Source organism: Homo sapiens, chromosome 4 (assembly GCF_000001405.40).
Source record: "Homo sapiens chromosome 4, GRCh38.p14 Primary Assembly".
Lineage (NCBI taxonomy): Eukaryota > Metazoa > Chordata > Mammalia > Primates > Hominidae > Homo > Homo sapiens.
In genome coordinates, this window is record NC_000004.12 from 87,089,757 (window position 1) to 87,112,162 (window position 22,406).

At 39.2% G+C, this 22,406-nt stretch overlaps 1 protein-coding gene across 14 annotated transcripts in view; it reads left to right on the top strand.

Moving 5' to 3' along the window:
* The window catches only part of AFF1 (ALF transcription elongation factor 1), a 206,029-nt gene that overhangs the window by 154,746 nt on the left and 28,877 nt on the right, over positions 1-22,406 (top strand). For all 14 annotated transcript variants that reach the window (XM_005263007.4, XM_047415702.1, NM_001166693.3 and 11 more), the window contains 6 exons: positions 228-314; positions 2,037-2,073; positions 5,159-5,213; positions 15,872-15,926; positions 16,052-16,089; positions 18,403-18,559. In XM_005263007.4, coding sequence (XP_005263064.1) covers positions 228-314; positions 2,037-2,073; positions 5,159-5,213; positions 15,872-15,926; positions 16,052-16,089; positions 18,403-18,559 — 429 coding nt within the window. The remainder of the gene's footprint in view (positions 1-227; positions 315-2,036; positions 2,074-5,158; positions 5,214-15,871; positions 15,927-16,051; positions 16,090-18,402; positions 18,560-22,406) is intronic.

The following is a 22,406-nucleotide window of genomic DNA, read 5'->3' on the forward strand; positions in this document are numbered from 1 at the left end:
TTGTCTTCTACAAACTGGCGTTTTTTAGTTTTTTATGTTGGAGAGCTTTAACTTTTCAACATAGCCCACTGAAATAGGAGTTGTTTTTTTTAAGTACATGAAATAACTTTTAAGATTGTACTTGCCATTTATGATCAATCCATTCTACATTAAGTTCAAAATGTTAAGTAGCAATGAATGTTCTATTTATAATTTACTTTTTCTTCCCTTTCCAAATATCTTTCCAGGAAATGACCCATTCATGGCCGCCTCCTTTGACAGCAATACATACGCCTAGTACAGCTGAGCCATCCAAGTTTCCTTTCCCTACAAAGGTAATTCCTTAAAAGTATGGCAGGCATTGCATCCACCTTAGTGAAAAGCGTAAGGCATTGCTGTGAGGCAGATTGATAAAGTATTACTTGTTCAAATCTTTGGAAATGAGGTTAAAATTATGATTAATTTAGCTTCTACAGTGCTTCAGAATGCTTTCAAACATTTATTCTGCAACTTAGAACATCCTAGATTTTCATAAAGCTTTATAATTTATAAAAAGCATTCAGGATTTTCCAATACGTTCTCTCATTTGAGGATCCTTACTTTAGAGATGGGAGAACAGAGGGGCAGGGAAATTGAGTGTGTGATTTCTCGTTCAGAATTAGATATATGCACATACATCTTACATATCTCACACTCCCTACATTTTCTTGAGTTTAATGTGATCAGTTACACTAGTGCTGGTTTAATAACAAGCAAATAAACTGCTGACTTGTGTGTTTCTGTTACAGTATTTATGAACAATGCGTTAAAACACTGCCATTCTCCTTTTTTTTAATTTATACTTTTGGATAACCTTCAAAATGTAGAAATAGCACCTTCAGATCTGTGTTTTGTTCAATCTGATATGCATGTTCATTGTTTTATATACATAATACATATATTGAGAGAGTGAGAGAGCTATTCCTTTCCATGATACTGTTGTGAAAAGTAGTTCTAGGCCAGGTATGGTGGCTCATGCCTGTATTCCCAGTACTTTGGGAGGCCGAGGTGGGTGGATCACTTGAGTCCAGGAGTTTAAGACCAGCCTGGGCAATGTGGCAAAACTTTGTCTCTCCAAAAAAATACAAAAACTAGCCAGGTGTGGTGGCATGCACCTGTAGTCCCAGCTACTTGGGAGGCTGAGGTGGGAGAATCACTTGAGCCCAGGAGGTTGAGGCTGCAGTGAGCTGTAATTAAGCCACTACACTCCAGCCTAGACAACGGTGAGACCCCGTCTCTCTACCACCAAAAAAAAAAAAAAAAAAAAAAAGGTTCTATCTACAAAAACTCAAATTTGCTACTTTATATATTTACTTATTTTCTAATAATTTTTAAAATGTAACTCATGGACCGGGCATGGTGGCTTATGCTTGTAATCCCAGGACTTTGGGAGGCTGAGGCGGGTGGATCACGAGGTCAGGAGATCAAGACCATCCTGGCCAACATGGTGAAACACCGTCTCTACTAAAAATACAAAAATTAGCTGGGTGTGGTGGCGGGCACCTGTAGTCCCAGCTACTGGAGAGGCTGAGGCAGAAGAATCGCTTGAACCTGGGAGGCAGAGGTTGCAGTGAGCCGAGATTGCACCACTGCACTCCAGCCTGGGGTAACAAAGCGAGACTCCGTCTCAAAAACAAAAAACAAAACAAAAAAAACAGTGACTCATTATTGCTTGTTTTAAATTAAAGCACTAAGCTCTGTAAAAATATCTTTGTGCAACAACAAAGGAAAAATAAACTCTAGGAAAGAAGAGAAGCAATGAAAGCTAAAATTAGGTTAATCAATATTTTCAACTTATGCATGAAAAAAGTTTGAATAGATGGATAGCTGCAAGTCATAATGAAATAATTATAGAATCTGTGATGGGTAGTATGGGTATTCTCTACACTGTTTCCATTTTTCTAGATATTTGAAAGTTTCATAAGACTATCCTTTTAATACTAAAAGCTCAACGGTTTTCTCTTTAACTTTATAAGCCTTAATCTTTTAATAATTAGATATTTTTATTTTCTTTCTAGGACTCTCAGCATGTCAGTTCTGTAACCCAAAACCAAAGTAAGTAAATTTGAAACTGCTTATTGGATTGGAGAACAAAGCATAGCTTTTACTGTTTAACGTAAAAACATTAGTAAAAAATGCCCCAGCAGAGATGAGGCCTTCCTATGTTGAAAGAATAGGAAAGGAGAACAAATATAAAACTATTCTTTATGTGGGATTTAAAATTGTTGACCAGGCGCAGTGGCTCATGCCTGTAATCCCAGCACTTTGGGAGTCCAAGGCAGTTGGATCGCTTGAGCCTAGGAGTTGAAGACCAGCCTGGGCAACATGGTGAAACCCTGTCTCTACAAAATTAGAAAAATTAGCTGGGCTTGGAGTCATGTGCCTGTGGTCCCAGCTACTTGGGAGGCTGAGGTGGGAGGATCACTTGAGCCTAGGAAGTAGAGGTTGCAGTGAGCCAAGATTGTGGCACTGCACTCCAGCCTGGGAGACAGCACAGATCCTGTCTCAAACAAACAAAAACCAAAATAAGATTGTTGCAAAGAGTTAATAAAGATGTTTTAGTGAAATACTAAACAAATGCAGTGTGGTATTACTGACACATAGTAGCTGTACCAAATGTGACTCTCACAGCTAGGAATTGTATACAACAGTAGATTGGAGTGTGTCATTCTTGTGTTTTAAAAAACAAAACTAAGAAATTTTTATAAGGAATATGACATACAGTTTGTCTAGCCCCACTATATTTGTTTGCCATGTAATTCTTTTTCAGCCTGAGGGTTAAATCTGCCCTGCAGCTAGTTTTTGTAAATAAAGTTTTATTGGGACATAGCTGCACCCATTTATCTAGTATTCTACAAAGTATAGCACAAAAAACCTAAAATATTTATTGTCTGGCCTCTGTAGATAAAATTTGCTGTTCCCTGCTGTAGAGATACTGAATAAGATCTTGCAAAGAAGTCATAACTAAAATTTCCCCAAAATGCAGATAAATAAACCCGACTATATTGCTACAGTATTGTATGAGTAGCTAGGTAAAATTAACTGAAATGGATGGCTGCTTGGGAAGATTGGGAAATCTTTTTTCTCCACATCTTGGCAGCTAGCCCAGACCAGTGGAGTGTGCACAGGTCTGAAGGCAGAACACCAGCTCAGCCGTGGGTGGGGTTGCTATGCACCACTCTGCCCCCACCTTCGGTCTGCTTGGGTTGCTGGTCATGCAGGTGGCATGTCTTTCACGGGGTTGCTCATGGTTTGTTTTATTGCTAACTCATGGTTTAGAAAGAACCTTTAGTCCATTAAACCATTTGATTTCCCCTTTTAGCAAAATATAGTTGAAGATGAACTGATAAGCACTTTCTTGGCCAGGGATGGATCATCCTCTTGCCCTATGCAGTAATGTGGGTCAATTCCTTGTTACTCTGATGAGAAATTGTCCAACATTGGTGGGTCTCCTGGAGGTCCTGGCTCACCAGCTGCTTACCCCCACATCTTTTATGCTGCTGTCACTTTATTCTGCTATTCCGGCAGCCTTATTTATCTTTGTGAGAATGTGACCTGAAAAAGAGGGATCTAGTTTGTTGCATGTAGGATGAAGAGGATGGTGGGGTATGGATGGATATAGCTTTCAGTGAAGAGAAGACAAACATTTCTTAAAGTATGCCCAGCAAGTCAACTCTGATTTCTTCAACACTTGATCTTATGGTACTGGTACATAGGTTTTAGAGTCTCTGGAGAGGGGAGGTAGGGGGATTTTACTTGGATGCCCTAGTGTTATATGTCCACAATTGCAAAACCCAGACCCTGTGGAATTTAGAACCCAGGCAAGATGATCGTGTGGAGTCCCTGTGAATGGTCTGAAGAGGAGGGGCCTCTGCCCCTCTCGTTTGGAGTCTTGGTCCTAGCTTTCTAGACAGAGGGGAGGCCATTTGAAAATATCATATAAGAGCTGCTGCCACCATGAGGGCAAAGTGACTAATTGCAAATATGCAAGGGTCTCCACATGACATTTGTGGGAAATGTCATTCAGCCCTGCCTAAAAGGTACCCATGTTTCTTTTTCACTTCCAATTCTGTTTCAGGTCCCTATTACCTCATGTCTAGACAAATGCAGCTGCCTCCACACGTAACATTTCCTGCTCCCTTCTAAGTTATGCCAGGTAGCACTACCAGAGTAATCCTTCTGAGGAATCACTGTGTCATGTTCCTGTTTAGATCATTGATGTGTCTCATAGCCCAGCAAATACAGTCATAACTTCCCATCCTGGCCTTCAGAGCCCTCTGAAATCTGCTTCCGCCTGTTTCAGTGCTGTCCAGCACAGATTCTGCACCTCAGCCCTGCCCTTTCCAAACTCAGACCCTCTTCTTCTTGTTTGTTCCCACTGTCCTCTCTCTCTTGCCAGCATCACTCTGCCAGAATCTTGGCTGTCCTTTGTGATACAATTCATTTTGTTCTTTCTTTAATTTGCTGCCTTTGGTATTACCAAGAGAGCAACCATTCTGTGATTTCCCAGGGCAGTTAATTTATGTATTGACTTGTGTACTTAATCTCACAGTGCCTTGGATTATAGATATTTATGGACCCGTTTCATGTCCCTCAGTCAACAGTGAGCTCTCTGAGGACAGGGCCAAATGCCTTAAACATGTTGGTATCTATGAGGTAGTCTATAAATAGCTGCTGAATGAATGAATTGCAGGTGGGGAGTTGAATAATGAAGGGACAGGTGGGATGGAGAGCACCTAGGACAGAGCTGTCTAAAGAGAGTGATAACAAATCACTAATATCTTTGTAAAGTCACATGGGACCCAGGGCGCTGGGAGCATAGCCCTGGCAGAGTGCTTCCATGTGGGCCTCCACCCCTGTCAAGGACAGGGAGGTCTTCCAACAGGTAGGTAAGTTCCTGGCGTCATAGGTAGGGTATGCTGCAAGCAATGATTTTCAGTGTTTTTGGCCTATTGAGAGGTTTTTGATTCTGAACCAAGCATTCTCTCTAGAAGTAACATAAATGTCATCTTATAATGCTAAGATTGTACCAAGTGCAGTGTGTTTAGGTAAAAACTGGGGACCGACATAAAAGAACTCACAACTAAGGATCTTGTAAATATGTGTCATTGTGCTGCTTTGATGTTTCTCTCCCCCACAGAACAATATGATACATCTTCAAAAACTCACTCAAATTCTCAGCAAGGAACGTCATCGTAAGTGAAATGCTTTTTGTGTATTAAAATTTTGTAGTATGAAATTGTAATGTCTCATGTCAATGCATTGCTTAGATTTTTCTGCCTTTATGTAATGACATTAATAAGACTGCTGCATTCTAAAGGGAAGAAAGGGCCCACATTAATTTTTTTTGCTTGTTTGTTTGAGATGGGGTCTTAACTCTGTTGCCCAGGTGGGAGTGCAGTGGCATGATCTCGGCTCACTGCAATCTCTGCCTCCCGGGCTCAAGCGATTCTCATGCGTCAGCCTCCTGAGTAGTTGGGACTACAGGTGCCCACCACCATGCCTGACTAATTTTTGTATTTTTAGTGTAGAGAGGGTTTCACCATATTGGCCAGGCTAGTCTCGAACTCCTGACCTCAAGTGATCCGCCTGCCTCAGCCTCCCAAAGTGTTGGGATTACAGGCGTAAGCCACTGCACCTGGCCTAATATTTGGATTAAGTCCCCCTGTTGAAGGTCTATGTACCATTGGAGAGTTTGGTAAAAGGTCTTCTTGAGGGGGAAAAAGGGTTTTTGAGCCATTATTTACATTTTAACTCTGGGAATAGAAGGCCTTTGCTTTTAAGATGTCATTCTTTAATAGCTTTAGCTGTTAGAAACAAGTTTTGGGGGATGTGCACAATTGAAGATTTTCCGCCCTTTTTTGGCCTAATTTACTAATAAAGAGCTAATCTTATTGCCCAGCTATTCTTTATTAAGGCCAGTAAGTCCAGAAATATTTTGGGTTATGGGAACGTTTTAGACTGCATATTAAAGATTTTTAAATTGGCATTTTGACCCAATTTGTCATTTCTTGATGGTATTGAACTCTTACTACTTTACTTTCATATGACAGGAGCTGGTCATAGGGACTAAGTGAGGAGGCCTTCCTCCAGTATCTGATCTGTCACTAACTCTGTGTTGCTAGTCTCAGGATTTCAGGTGGCCCAGGAGTTTAAGCTCCAACTTTCCTTTAGTTTTAGGCACAATATTTGTTCCATGTATTTTGGAAGGTGGGGATTGCTATGGATTATTTAAAAAACTATATATTGAGCTGGAGAGGTTATTTTATCTCCTCGCCATGACTAAATGTGGGTCTGGGTTAAGTGTTTGTTTCCCAAGTGCCAATTCCTTAATGTACTTTGTGAAATGAAGGGAAAAGGAACAAGAAGACGAGGTGTTTTTGTTTTTTTGGTCTGAAAGATGGGTTTTGTGCATGTGGTAAGAATGTATTTTATTTGTGATACTGGTAGATGATGAGGTTTTTGTTTTTGTTGTTTTTAATGCCTTTTGCTGGGAAAGTAAAATGTTACCTTTTGTTATTCCCTTTTTTTTTTTTTTTTTTTTTTGGAGACAGGGTCTTGCTCTGTCACCCAGGCTGGAGTACAGAGGACTACAGACTACAGGGACACACCCGGCTTTTTTTTTTTTTTTTTTTTTGGTAGAGGTGGGGTCTCCCTTTGTTGCCCAGGCTGGTCTCCAAGTCCTGGGCTAAAGCAGTTCTCCTGCCTCAGCCTCCCAAAGTGCTGAGATTACAGATGTGAGCTTCCACACTTAGCCTCTTTTTTTCTTTTTCTTTTTCTTTTTGGAGACAAGGTTGCTTTGTTGCCTAGGTTGGAGTGCAGTGGCTCTTCACAAACCCAAATAGCACACTGCAGCCTCAAACTTCTGGGCTCAAATAATTCTTTACCTCAGCCTCCTGAGTAGCTAGGACTACAGGCACAGGCTACTATGATGCCCGGCTCCCCTTCCCTTTTGCCTTTCACCTTTTCTTTTTTTCCTTTTTAATTTTTACATATTTATGTTTTAACATATTTTTAGAGACAGGGTCTCACTATGTTGCCCAGGCTTGTCTTAAAACTGCTGGGCTCAAGTGATCCTCCTGCCGCAGCTTCCTGAGTAACTGGATTACCAGCACACACCACCACACTTCCTTTATGTTTTTGGAAATTTTACTGGCTGCTAAATTCTAAGACTGTAGACTCACTGACATGGATTACATTTAAGGAAGGAGGAGGTTTGTTAAACCAGTTGATGGCTGGTAAGGAGTAGAATCTGCAGATCAAGGACCACAACTGTAAGAATTCTGTAGAAGCTCTGTAATCTCCCCAGGGTTTTACACCAGGTATTTCTTTGTGATGGTTGGTTGTCAAGCCCTGTAGACCATAAAAGGCCCTGACCATTGTCTTTGGGGCAGCCAGGAAGGGACGTTAAAGCCTGGGTATCCCAACTGACTGTAAGCATAGAGGGGAGGAGCTCTCCCAGGAGTAGAGTGGGTGGAGCAATTGCACCGAAGTTGGGTAGTGACTGTGTCTCTCGCCTGTGGATAGAGGAAGAAAGGCAGCTGGGTCTGATCTACGCCTGACAGGTAGCCTCAGACTGAGCAGGCAAAAGTCACACCCTACCACTCCAATTTCCATCAGCTTTCAGACTTTCAGAGACAGACCATTCCTGTGATGACACTGCTCAGTGAAATGAGTGGTTTTCTTGATAGCAGTGTTAAACCACTCAAATCAGAGGTGCCTGAAAGTAGCTAACAAGTATATCTTGTGACACGTAGTGTTTGCTTTATAAAAACTATTAATTTAGTACATATAAAATTATCTAGGAAAGAATATTTGTGATGATCCTAATAGATTTACAGAAGGTAGAAGTAGGACCTAGTGGAAGGGAGGAGAGGTAAGAGTAACACAGAAGAGAAGTGATACTGAGGCCGAGTAGATAATGAGGGTTGTGTGGACTTGGTGATTATGTGGGGGGTAGACGTGGTGGTATTGATAAGTGCCAGAATGAAATGTATCCTTGGGAAAAAGGAATGACTTTTATGAACTCACTTTTAATGGAGATTAGAAGAAAGTGGTGTCCCAAATTAATTGGCAAATTGCAGTTGTTTCAGATTTTGTGTGGCAAATCTCTTAGTGCTCGCGGGTTGATTTGATCTATTGTCAGCATTAGGCTTCTTTGACATGCAGTTAAGCTATTTGAGTGGCACATAGAGTGCTGGGGAGATATTCTAATGCATTTTGAATATCAGAAAAAAATTATTAATTGCAGGGTCATTTACACTTTGATTTAAAAAACCAATCTAGGTCTTAATGCTTTTTCTTTCAGAGTTATGAGGACTTGGGAATCCTTAGACAAGTGGAATAGGACATATAAGAGTATAAAAGAGAGGCCCAGTAGTAAAGGATAAGCTTGCGAGTGGTCTGTATTAACTCAGATATGGTTAGGGGGTAGCAACGTGGTAGAAGGATGTAGTTGTGAAATTAAATGTAATGGTTCAGCATGTAGTTTGAGATGTAGTTATTTCTCAAATAATTCCTTCTGTAAAGTTCTGTAGGTAACTGATTAGCTAGGATGTTAGTGCAATTTGCCCCTAAGTTTAAGAGAGAGTGTATTTGTTTAAGGGCTCTTGGTTTTGGAATCCTCTTCCTTTCCAAGGCTTAGATCTGTGAAGTGCTGAGGACAAAGTATAAAGTATTTCCTTTTTCTGTACAGTAACTGTGACCTTCATATAATTGTGGACAATTCTTTTTCTGTGCAGCCAGATTTAGTTTACTGGTGTCAGTGCATTTGTCAGCCTCTGAAAGAGGACAAAAATGTTAATATTTTAGAAACTAAAAAAGCAATTTATTTGTATATTCTAGCTAACTTGTTTCTTCCCCTACCCCAAAATTGCCAAGTCCTTACAAAAAGGTGCCCTCCATTATTTTTCTTGTTTTTGGCCTCTGAAATCAACACTTACTTAAAATAAGAGACAGAAATTAGTCATTATAGCAATTTGAAATATTTATTACTTATGTGGAAGGTTTCTTTTGAAGTGAGGGAGATATCTGGATGTGAAGGCTGAGATTGGGATTGTCCCTCGAGTTGGATGAGAAAGACTGTTGCCAAGTTAGTAAAGACTGGGGTGAGTCTGATACCTTTTCAAATGAGCCCGAGTTTTCAACTTTTACTCAAAACATTGTTGGCTTTTAAATATTTTGGTAAAGAGCAAGGGAAGACTCATTCTGTTTATTGTAATATAAAATTGTCACATCAGGATGTAAGTAGTGTCAGCTGAAATGTTCTAGAATTAAGTCCAAAGACATGCTTTACTTGTAGCATATTTAAATCATGCTTAGCCTAAGGAAATTAAATTTTTCCTTGTTTTCAAATATTAGCTTATACCGTTTGAACCTGGATATTTCAATGGCAGGTCTAACTGAGAGTACAATTTGCTGATAAATATTATGGAAGTGGTAGAAATCTGCCCCATGTGTAAAGCTTAGAACTTGACATTGAAGTAATATCTACATCCCTTATTCACAGTTCTTCCGCTTCCCAAAAACAAGGAACAAACATTTGTGCTGGTTATTTGTACATTTGTAGATCTGCATTAAGCCTTCACCATCATAGAACATTTATTAAAATGTTTTTCACTAAGTGTTGATCTCACTTTTTATTTTCCTTTTTTGAGACAGGGTCTCATTCTGTCACCCAGGCTGGAGTGCAGTGGGGTGACCTCGGTTACTGCAACCTCCACCTTCTGGGTTCAAGCAATCCTCCCACCTTAGCCTCTCGAGTAGCTGGGACTATAGGCACACACCACCATACCTGGCTAATTTTTGTATTTTTAGTAGAGACGGGGTTTCGCCGTTTGGCCCAGGCTTGTCTTGAACTCCTGGACTCAGGCAGTCTGCCCACCTTGGCCTCCCAAAGTGCTTGGATTACAGGCGTGAGCCACTGTGCCCGGCCCCCACATGCTGTGTGCTTGGTGCTGCTTTAGGTACTTGGAGAAACTGTGGTCAATAAGACAAAATATTTTGTAACAAACTGTAGGTGGCATATAATACAGAGCAAGGGATGTGACAGTGACAGGGTTGAGAGGAATTCTTTGGATAGTAGTTACACTTCAGGGAAAAGAGGGGTCCAGAAAGGTCTCCCAGAGAGGGTGACATTTGATAAGAGAAAGGCAGAGACTATTTGCCACCTTGAAAGGGGCTTGACAGATTATGCTGTAGGCTTTGAAAGCTTTTGAAAACCTGAGGGAGTCTTTTTTTAAGTGATTACTTTGAAAGAGCTCATTTGCATATATAAAACCTGGATTTGGGGAGCCCTTAAGGGTCCCTTTAAGTGTCATTTTACATCATAACTGCTAATTTACTACAATAAGTGACCCTAGGCTAATTTAAACGTAGATTGAAAGATTGAATAAAATATATTTTAATTTGCTAGGAATCTTAGCCTTAAGGGTAGTTAGTGTATTTTACCCTCTCTGTGGGATGCTGGGCTGTTAAACCAACAAGGTGTGGTCCACTTTCACAAGCATATTAACATTCCTGCCTCCTAGCAAGGGCCTCCAAGAACCTCCATAACCTATCCCCTACCACGGCCTGTCCCTGACACACATGTCCATTTTCCATTCTGGCAGGCTTGGCCTCCCTGCTCTTTTTGGTGTTGTGATGACTCTCCCCACAAGACTTGCATTGTGCTCTCTCCCTCCTTTCAGCTGTGACCTGGGGTGGCCTTTATCAGTAGTTTTCCCTAACTACCCTGTATAAAAGAGTGACCTCTAGCCATCCTTTCTCTTTTATCCTTTTCCCTCCACAAGCTTGTTACCCATTGAGAAATGGTGTATTTTAGTTGTCTTCCTCCTCTAGACTAGCGGGGATATTTTTCGGCTCAGAGTTGTAGCCATAGGGTCTAGAGCAGTGCCTGGCACATAGTAAGTGCTCAGAATAAATGCAGAAGGAAAGATTCTACACGATAAACTTGATTGAATACCTATATACAGTATTTAATAGACATGGTTTAGAGTAATATTTTAGATTTTGTTTCTGTTAAAAGTATATCATTCTTTTACCTTGTCATACTTACTGATTTAATCTACTGATTTAACTTCAGATTTTCCCTCATTTACACTCTTGTGATTTTTCTCATTTCCTTATTTGACATCAGATAATCTTCACTTCGTCCATGGAGTTTAAATAATCTTTTATAACTCCAGCACCATTTTTATCATATCAACCATTAACCTCTTTCACTAGAGTTAATCATGTAGAGTCAGTTTCCCCTCTATCTTGTTACCCCATAATTCCTGTGGAAAGTTTCCCATGAACTTGAATTCTGCCTTCTAACTATTGTCACCATTTGGAGATTTCCTATTATATGTTGTGTCACAACTGCTGGAGATCTACCTTTTCACTTTTTCATCTCTTCTTCGTTTAGCCTGCTTCGTAATTTGTAACCTCCCACCATCTCTTAGAATGCACGGGCAGTCCTTATTTCTGGCATACATCAAGAAAGGAATCAGAGCCTGATTGCTTTGAAAATGCCAGGATTCTACGGCCAGGCTCACACCTGTAATCCCAACACTTTGGGAGGCTGAAATGAGAGGACTGCTTGAGCCTGGGAGTTTGAGACCAGCCTGTGCATATAGTAAGACCTCGTCTCTACAAAAGATTTCTTTAAAAAATTGCCAAGCATGGTGGCACAAACCTTTGGTCCCAGCTACTCAGGAGGCTTAAGTAGGAGGGTCACTTGAACCTGGACGGCGAAGAGTTTGCAGTGAGCCATAATGGTGCCACTGCACTCCAGCATGGGCGACAGAGTGAGACCTTGTCTGAAAAAGAAAAAAAAAAATCCTGGGATTCTGGATGTGCTCTGGAGCCCAGCCTCTTTCTCCTGCCTTGTGTGCCATTGCCCATCCTATCCCCGGATCAGTTTCAGATTTGTGAGATTCTATAAGTTTACACATTCTCACATACTTGTTAGTGGTTCCCGAAAAGTGTTACTTTTCTTATTATTTTTAGCACACCTGATACCATGGCTGTGACTTACTAATTTTAAGTAACTACTATGAGCACTTACTCTTTCTCAAAGTGATCTTAAGAAATGTTAAGCCAAGAAATAAGGTTATGTAAATACTTTTTGGGTCTGAATTGAGATGTTACAAAATATTGGCAGTGAAAGCTTTGGGCAAGCCCAGTACTAAGAAATGGAAAATAAATGGCGACTTGTCTTTATGTCTTCACACAGTAGCAATCGGGTTGACTCACTGCAGCGTGTCTGCCAGAACCTGTATGTGGCTCTTTAAGCTTTGCTAGAACAGCTGCCTGAAAAAGCAGTTGTACAAAGGGTTTTGAGAATTGTTTGTTACCTGTAAGCAAAAAGTTTACCTAACCAAATGTAAAATGTGATTAAATCTACATGTAAAGAGTTGCTTTACCTGAGCGATTTGGCTTCTTTTGAACAGTGTCAAAGTAGGTAATACGGTTGTATATGTTTTGAAATAACTGCCTTGACTTGGCATTTGGAAATGAAACTTGTTATTTGACCAGTTAAAGTATATAAGGTTTAAAAGTTAATTTGTCTTCATAAGGGAAACATAACATATTGAGTTCCAATAGGAAAGTAGTTTTATTTTAAATCAAAGTCTCTCTCTTGGTGGGTTCTGGAATTTAGATTTAATTCCATCAGTTGGGTTTTCTAACCATTGTGTAATACATTGGCCAGAACAAGGGGATCTTGGGCATGTCAGGTGGCTGTTTTCCTCATCCTTAGAATGTGAAGGGATGGTCAAAAGCCACCACACAGGATTGTAATGATAAGCAGTGTCTGTTCTGATCACATAGTGGGCACAGCTACATGATACTGTTATTCAACAAAGGGGTCCTATTCATTCAGCCTGCTGTTTTAGGATACCTACCAGTTTCTAGACAGAATATAAAAGGTGAAAATGATTTGATCCTAATTAAAAAAAAATTTATAGGTGAGAAAGAAGAAGCATATCCATTGAGCTTTCTGTTCTCTTGACCTAGGCTTTATTGCCGTGACTGAGACTGGGTCTAAGAGATTTGGATTCTCTTGTCATGGGGACAGAGGTGCTCACCCAGGTGTGCTGTAGTTCATCTCCTCATTTTTCACATTCAACGACTGATTCTTCACATATAGTATGTGCTTGGCTTCAAATACAGTTTGTGGGACAGGCAGAGGACCTTAGCCTCTTAAATTTAAAAGAAATTTAAATTCCTTTAAAATTTGTCCTTAGGCCTAAAAATCCTTCACCTGTCATCAAACTGTCTTCAGCTACATAGATTTTCTGTTTAAAAAAAATTCTAATGGCATTCATGATTAATTTTCTATATTAGCATAACTTAGTTATGACTTGTAACTTAAAAAAAGTAGATGTTGTACATGTTTTTTAATCAAAAACTTTAGAAAAAAATTTTTTTCTTGCTGCCATTTTCTCCTCCAATAATAGCATGCTAGTTTACGTTGAGATACCCACCTCTGGTGATACAGTAAATCAGGCTTTCTGGAATAGTTTGTGGTTACTCTTGGCTGTGCCAGCAGACACTAGTAATACACATATCTGCTGATTCTCATGTGAGATATGTTTATTCTTTATCAAATAAATTATACTCACAAATTTTTATTAAGTAAAATACTTTATGTATAAATCCCAATACATCCCAAATGAGGGAGGAGAGGTTTTGTTTGACCATACTGGTTTATCATTTCTGAGTGTTTCTTTGGAGACAGCTTTTGCAATCTTCCTTCAGAGATCACAGTCCGTACTCTTTAGGTTTGGAATAGGTTTTGTATCTGTAGGCTTATTTTGTTACTATCTATGTAATTCTCTGCAGGGAAAATTTTTAGAATCTGGGACAGCATTTTCATGGTGCCTGTTTATCCTGAAGAGGAAGTGGAGCCAAAAGTCAGAACTTTCTCTAACTTTCTGACTTACTTTAGGAGAGTATATTCTTGGAAGTTAGATGTTTGGTAGCTAGAAGAGAAAGTTACAGAATTTTTAATCCTGTGCTCAAAACAGGAAATGTGGTTGGATTACATGATCATTGATGTTACAGGAATTAAGGCAAATCAGTTTTATTCAAAACAAACCTAGTAACTAAGAAAGAGGTCAGTTTTTTGTTTTGTTGTGGTTGGTGACTAATGCTGAATACACTTTGCCAGATTTTTTTCTGGTTGTATTATACTTTACATTTATTTCAAAGATACATCTTTTATCTTTTGTTTGTGTATAACTCAGCCCAGCCACCATTTAGCAATAAACCTGTTGAGTGACTTTTTTTGTATACCATTACGTTGCTAACTGACAAGTCCTATGACTGAAGGCTATATTTTCTAGCCTTGAAAAAATATGAATTTAGCTGTGCAGGGTGGCTCACGCCTGTAACCCCAGCAGTTTAGGAGGCTGAGGTGGGCAGACCACTTGAACCCGGAGCTCTAGACCAGCCTAGGCAGCATAGTAAGACCTCATCTCTACAAAAACACAAAAATTAGCCGGGCATGGTGGCCTGTGCCTGTAGTCCCAACTATTCGGGAGGCTGAGGCAAGAGGATTGCCTGAGCCCAGGAGGCAGAGGTTGCAGTAAGCCAAGATCACACCTGGGTAACAGAGTGAGACCCTGTCTCAAAAAGAAATAAAAATATGAATTTAGCTTCTGTTAGATAAATATTGAGCAAGATCTACATTTACAAGTTGCTAACAGTTTTCATTTTATTTAGAAACTTATCCCAGTATGTTTTTAGTACATTTATGAAAGTTGTTTCTTGGCAGAATTACCACCTCATGTAGGCGGTCATTTACGAAACAGCCAAGTTTCGTTCATTTTCATTAGAAAACATAGTGATTTTTACCAGGATTTCCAAAGACACCATGCCTGCTTTCTTCAGTGGTAGATATGGCTTTGCAGTAAAAATTGTTGATCAGATTTTTGAATAGGTGTTTTTGGAAATACTGAAGGATTTTAACCTCAAATAATTTGCCGGTGGAGTTTTTAAAATTTGACAACACATGTACAGATTGACAAATGTTTGCTTTTTACTATTTAGGTTCACCATAAGCCAGAATGCCTACAGATACATTAATCCAAGTTTGAGGAAATTTTTTTTTTTTTCCTCACTGAAACAATAGCAATAAGGTTAAACATAATGTGTAGACAATCGAGTTTGTATTACTGTTCTTCCCATTGATCAGTGTTCACATAGGCAAAAGAGAATAATTTATTGTCAAAAATAAAGCTCACTATTAATAATGTCCTTTAGACAGAAATGTAAAGTAACTGCACTGTTGGGTGATGTTTGCCTTGATAGCATCATACATCTTACTGTGTATTTAATTCTAATGTTGAACTTTTTATGTGCCTGGCACTGTTCTGAGTGCTTTACAAATATTCATTCATTCAACTTTAATTCATTTAATGGCTAACTACTTTAGTTCAGTTAGAGCTTATGGAAGAAAGTAATTGAGTATATTATGTATCCCTCCCCATTTGTTTTGTTTGCATGGACCCTGACTTCACTGATTAGGAGTGAAGGACTTTAGTCTCAGGGCTCGCAACGAATCCTTGTCTTGTGGTAGTTCTGCTTCAGTGTTGTAGCATGTGAAAGAGTCTGTTTTGAGATGGTAAGAGGCTTGCACTTAACTGGTTTCTGTGTTATAATTGTATAATTATAATTGTATTCGTACATTGTAATTGTATAATTGTAAAACTTAACATTTTCAGGAAGTCACAGCCTTTAATAAATAAAGAAAACTTACACATATCCTCTCTCTTTGTTTAATTAGGCATATTTTCTATTTACATGCTAGAAAAGTTGTTAGAAATCATTTCACATTCATTCTTCTCTGTGTCCCTGCCCATTCCAGCATGCTCGAAGACGACCTTCAGCTCAGTGACAGTGAGGACAGTGACAGTGAACAAGTAAGTGTTGCACAGCCTGTAATACCAGGAGTCCTTTTAAATACATCTAACAGATCTGAGCTGCTTGTTCTAACCTGTTTTTTGTTCTTTTCCTGGTCTTTCTTCCCCTTATTGTGAATGCCTAGACCCCAGAGAAGCCTCCCTCCTCATCTGCACCTCCAAGGTACCGTGTGGGTTTCTCCCCATCTGTACAGAATGTTTGCAATTTTTTACCAAATGGGAAAAATAAAGCCTTATTTAGTACTTTCACATTTTTTGTCATGGGAAGGAGCTGAAGGATCACAGTAAAAGGAAAGTACCTGTTTAATATTTTGGAAGCTTAAATCAGCCATAGGGAGGTTGTTAACCCTATAGAAGCGAGAGCCCCACACTCATCTACATCATCAGTATAGATGTTAAAGATTTTTAAGAGTTTACAGGCTGGGCGTGCTAGCTCACGCCTGTAATCCCAGCACTTTGGGAGGCTGAGGTGGGCAGATCACTTGAGGTCAGGAGTTCGAGACCAGCCTGGCCAACATGGTGAAACCCTGTCTCTACTAAAAATACAAAAATTAGCCAGGCATGGTGGCGCATGCCTGTAGTCCCAGCTACTCGGCAGGCTGAGCCAGGAGAATCGCTTGAACCCAGGAGATGGAGGCTGCAGTGAGCTGAAATCGTGCCACTGCACTCCAGCTTGGGTGACAGAGCGAGACTCTGTCTCAAAAAAGGAGTTTACAAACAAGCTTAAAATACAATTTATCATCAGTATTAGGTAATCAATATTTGAAAAGTTAAACTGACGAGCCCAGTGTTTTAATGGAGGTAACAGATTTGCTGTTTTCAATAAAGCTCAGTTATTTCCAGAACTTCTTTTCCATTATGCCTGTTTTCTTAGTTACATGAATTTTCATATTGTTTCAGCTGCTTTTCAAAATGACCAGCAGTACATTTTAGTGTGATGGGAAATGGAATAAGCCAGCCATACTTTAGGAAATGTGATGATTTAATTTTTGAAAATATGAACTATTTGAACTTCTTTTATAATACTTTCCTCTGGTAATATGCCAGGTACCTGCCTTTCATGGACAAAGTTATTTTACTCACTTGAGATGTGCTCATCCACTCAGAGACGACATTAGCAATAAAATCTTGTCCATTATGCAGGGGATGTTACAGTTAATGTGGAGGAAGCCCATGTGATTATGTGCACTCTTACAGATTCATAAGGTTTGCTTGTTCAATTATATCTTATTTTGTTCAGTAATTTCTGGTGGGTTATGATGACTCATAAAACATGACAAGGTAGCCTAACTTCTAAAAGTGGAGGAAAAGGAAAAAGAAGAGACCAAGCGGGGGTACAAATTTGAGGCAGGAGTAACATTGAGAGTGTATCCCCTTTTGCTCATCACTGGCTTACGCTCTTCAGCTGCCATGGAGACAGGGCCACCAACTGGGTGCAGCATTTCTGTGAGGAAATTATATAGTGGTATCGTGTGTGTTTTAAAGTTACCTCAACTAGTGATTTTGTTATTGTTTAATAATTTTTATTCTAATATGTGTTATTTATGAATCTATTTTGAAAATATTTTAGGTAGATTTGAAATCTGTCCAGATTATAGTTAATGACTTATTGCTTTAATTAATACCATCTAGGGTGAAGCTTTAAGATTATATATGCTTTGAAATTATATATGTGTCTAGCAGTGTGATCAATGTGTTTTCTTACTAACTTAGATTTATTGCCCCATTCTTAAAATTTGGAGTAGATAATCTCTACTTTGTCTGACATTTGGGGATGATCCCTAAGCCACTTACGAAGAATGGTCCGTTTTGTAGTTCTTCCAGGAAGTGTGAGTGGTTGGTTACTTTTGAGTTCACCTTGCAAAGGAACACCATTTATATTTAGTGGTCTTTGGCTACCACCCAGTTCTTGTTTAGAGAATATAGGGAGATTTTAACTTACTGGCTTTTCTTACAGAAATTAATTTGATTTGGTTATGTGTAACAGAGACCAGCAAACTTAAAAGGATCAGATAGTAAATATTTTAGGCTTTGTGGGCCATATATGTCTCTATTGCAGCTGTTCAAATCTGCCATTGCAGCATAAAAGCAAACATAGTACATTAAAAAAATGGGTATGGGTGTCTTCCAATAAGACTTTATTTAGAAAAGCAGGCAGCCAGCCTAGGCAATGGTTTACCAACCCTTGATATGAAGCACCCAGCATCTAACTTAAATTTTGGATCACTTGACATATTCTTCAGGAGTAAAATTTCACAGGCTTCTCTTTTATGCATTTATCTGGCAATCAGTTTTCAGAGGTTTTTGCTTTTCTATTAAACTACTTTGGGCCTCTCTCAGTTGGATGACATGATAGTTTAGCAGTGTATCTAATACCAAGGCCCGCCCTTTTGAGTAGCAGGAAAATGGGCAAGGGAGAAAGAAGAAATCCACCTTGTATCGTGCCTTCTAATTTTATCTTTTGGTTGCTTTGCAGTGCTCCACAGTCCCTTCCAGAACCAGTGGCATCAGCACATTCCAGCAGTGCAGAGTCAGAAAGCACCAGTGACTCAGACAGTTCCTCAGACTCAGAGAGCGAGAGCAGTTCAAGTGACAGCGAAGAAAATGAGCCCCTAGAAACCCCAGCTCCGGAGGTACCGTGTTCCCCCTCGAGATGGCCACCTTAGATGGCAGCATTCTGTCCTTTGAAGTTAGAGTCAGTGCTGTGGGCCAGGACTGACCATGAGACTGAGTCATTCTGTCCCATGGGGCAATGCTTTCCTGCTCCTATGCTGTCTAGAGCCATCTGTTTCTATTTATTTGCTTCTTACCAAATATTTAATAAAGGAGAGTTGGGAGAGAGGTCTTCTCTCCCCTGTTGAAAATGATAGGTCTTCTCTGTCATTGCTAGTGGTGTTTTGAAGATCAACTCATTAAGACTGTTTGCACACCATTTTCTTTTCCCTTCTTTTAGAAAGAAAACTTGGTTTCAGTAGGCTGCTATTTTAATATTAATGAGAATTCTTCGTGAAATTTTAGAAATGCATGAATTAAAGCAAAAGGAGACTGCCTGATTTAGCAAAGGGCAGGAATGTGAACTAGAAATAAGTCATCAGGAGTTCTATTTTCGAATCACTAAAAGCCATGCATTAAATTGATGGCAAAGTGATTTTGTCAGGGTTCTGTTTCTTGCTCCTTTCTGTCCCATGTAAAACAGGGACGATGGTGTTTGCTTGTCACCCACCCTCAGGAGAATATTGTAAAGACAAACTGATAAGACTGAAAATCTTAGGCACTAAATAAATCTAGAGGATTTATGCTATTTACTGGATTGTTGAGCACAAGAAATTGTTAGTAACATCTAACAGGGTTGCCAAATAACCTCAAAATTTGGGTAGCATTGTAAAAGTTATGGTGGGGAAAGAAATTAATGAAAAGGGAAGGCATGCTTTTCTTTTTGGTGAATGAAACCAGCCCACATCGAGAAAATTATTCCATGTATTTAATAAGGGAATGCCAGGAAATGAAGCTTTCTAATTAGGAAAGCATTAAAAAGCCTTCTGTATTTGTCTCTGTTTAGAAAGCAAAGCAGTTCCAATGGGGCATTAACTGAATACATCTGGAGCTAATGTAGGGAGACTTAAGGGTCTTGTCTGAGGGTGAGGGAGGCTGAGAAAATAACTGGCTGTCATTTTCTGTTAGATGCGAATCTATGTCTGGCGCAGAAAATAAGAGCTTGATATGTTTTGGAGTGGACAGACATGCATCAGTATTAACTGCACTTGAAGTGCCTTTCAGATTTTAGAAACTACACTGTGTTTCTGGGGCTCTTTGTTTCCTTATATGATACTAATTGCTATTGAAATAATTTTTCTATGCCTCAGGGAAAAGGATACTGAATATGCTGTGCAGACAAATTGTGTTTATAAGATCTTTGCTTTATGTTTCACCTTATTCTTAAGAAAAATCTTCATGCTAGTTAGATTACTGACATCGAAAAGATAATTAACATTTAATTCAAATAAAATGGAAATGTTACAGATTTGGCTGAATAATTGAAACTTGATAGTCTGGCGTTTGTAGTAATGAGACATAGATATATTTTATTGCTTGAGAAGTTACTGGAATAGAGTGAAACCTCTGTAAAATAAATGGTCCCATCCTGCCTTATCTTTTAAAATCACTTTAATAAAAAAGGCTAGTATTGTTATGTATTGCAGATCCAGGCTTGGGGACAGTATGTGTTATATACTGAGGCTTATCCTCCTGGGAATATTTTATCTTTGTTTAGATTTTAAGTTTTGAATTTTTCCTAAAGTATTTAACTACATCTCTTTCCTTTTACAATAAATACCTGCATTATTATAAATTTCTGGTGTTGTTTCAGAGTAACAGAAATTCCATAATAAGCTGTACATACAGATATTAATGAGAATTCTTTTTCATTAATATTGCATAATCAGTACTGTAAATTATGGAATTTTCACTCTTAACTTTCTCACTCCTTTTTTTTATTTTTTTTTAACTTTCTCTTTTCTTTGTCTTAATTTTTGTGGGTATGTAATAGTTGTATATATGAGTGCGTGACATATTTTGATACAGCCATATAATGCATAATAATCACATCAGAGTAAGTGGGGTACCCATCACCTCAAGCATTTATTCTTTGTATTACAAACAATTCAGTTATACTTTTTCAGTTATTTTAAAATGTAAATTAAAGTATTATTGACTACAGTCACCCTGTTGTGCTGGCAAATACTAGATCTTGTTCTGGTTTTTTTGTTTTGTTTTGTTTTGTTTTGTTTTGTTTTGTTTTGTTTTGTTGGTACCGATTAACCATCCCCCCACCCCCTACTACCCTTCCAATCCTCTGGTAACCATCCTTCTACTCTCTATCTCCATGAGTTCAATTGTTTGAATTTTTTAGCTCCCACAAATTAGTGTGTATCTTCCATTTTTTTAATGCTCTTTTTAAAAAAAAATTTTGCACTCATATTCCCCATAGCTATGTAGTGTTACTAAAAGAGTAAATCTATATTGTGCATAATAATAAGCTCAAAACTTCTTAATTCAAAATCATAATTCATTCTCAAATATACTAACTTTTGCCAATTTATTAAAACACCTAATAAAAAATAATTATATCCTTTTTTTCCTATTTCCAATTTGCAGTATTTGGATTGCACCAGCACTGGGAGGGCAGATTGGGGGTGGGATGAGGAGACGCAGAGGAAGAAATGAAAGTCCAAACTTTGATCCTCTAAACAAAGATAAAATATTCCCAGGATATTTGAAAGTCTTAAAACCTTGGCACTTTTATCTACTTAAACTTTATTTTTTTTTTTTTATTTTTTTTTTTTTGAGACGGAGTCTCGCTCTGTCGCCCAGGCTGGAGTGCAGTGGCGCGATCTCGGCTCACTGCAAGCTCCGCCTCCCGGGTTCACGCCATTCTCCTGCCTCAGCCTCCCGAGTAGCTGGGACTACAGGCGCCCGCTACCACGCCCGGCTAATTTTTTGTATTTTTTTTTTTTTTTAGTAGAGACGGGGTTTCACCGTGTTAGCCAGGATGGTCTCGATCTCCTGACCTCGTGATCCGCCCGCCTCGGCCTCCCAAAGTGCTGGGATTACAGGCGTGAGCCACCGCGCCCGGCCTTACTTAAACTTTATTTTTAAAAATATTTTATTTTCATTTTTATTTATTTTTATTGAGATGGAGTCTCACTCTGTCACCCAGACTGGAGTGCAGTGGTGTGATCTCGGCTCACTGCAACCTCTGCCTCCCGGGTTCAAGTGATTCTCCTGCCTCAGCCTCCTGAGTAGCTGGGACTACAGGTACGTGCCACTAAGTCTGGCTAATTTTTGTATTTTTAGTAGAGACGGGGTTTCACCATGTTGGCCAGGCTGGTCTTGAACTCCTGACCTCAAGTGATCCACCCACCTCGGCCTCCCAAAGTGCTGGGATTACAGGTGTGAGCCACTGCGCCCAGCCTAAAAAATATTTTTAATCAATCCCTTATGAAAACATTTTTTCCATCACAACACCCAAATAATGTATCAAATTATATCCATTTCACAACTTAATATTGGGTATACAGGATTGCCCCTACCTGTTCCCCTTGTCTGGCACAACTACTCAATTTTACCCTCAAATTGGGACATAGGCCTTCCTTTGGAACATTTTTAGGACTGTAGTGGAAGAATATATTTTATTTCTGTAATCAGGACGTTCCTTTAGGGACTACTAAATGCATCTCAGTACTGTCCTGTTTTGAGGGTTGGGGGGGAAACCAGATGTTATTTATACTGGGAATGACTTCCCTTTTGGGTTCACACATAAATAGTCTTCTAAAGAGCATGTCAGGGATTGGGGTGCAGTTGTAGATATAGCCAGTGGGTAAGATATGTCCATACCTTTCCTGAGGAAGGGTGTGAAGGCTTTGTGCCTGATGTGATTGGCAAGTGATGTATCTCACTACCTTGTCCCATCAGTTAACCACT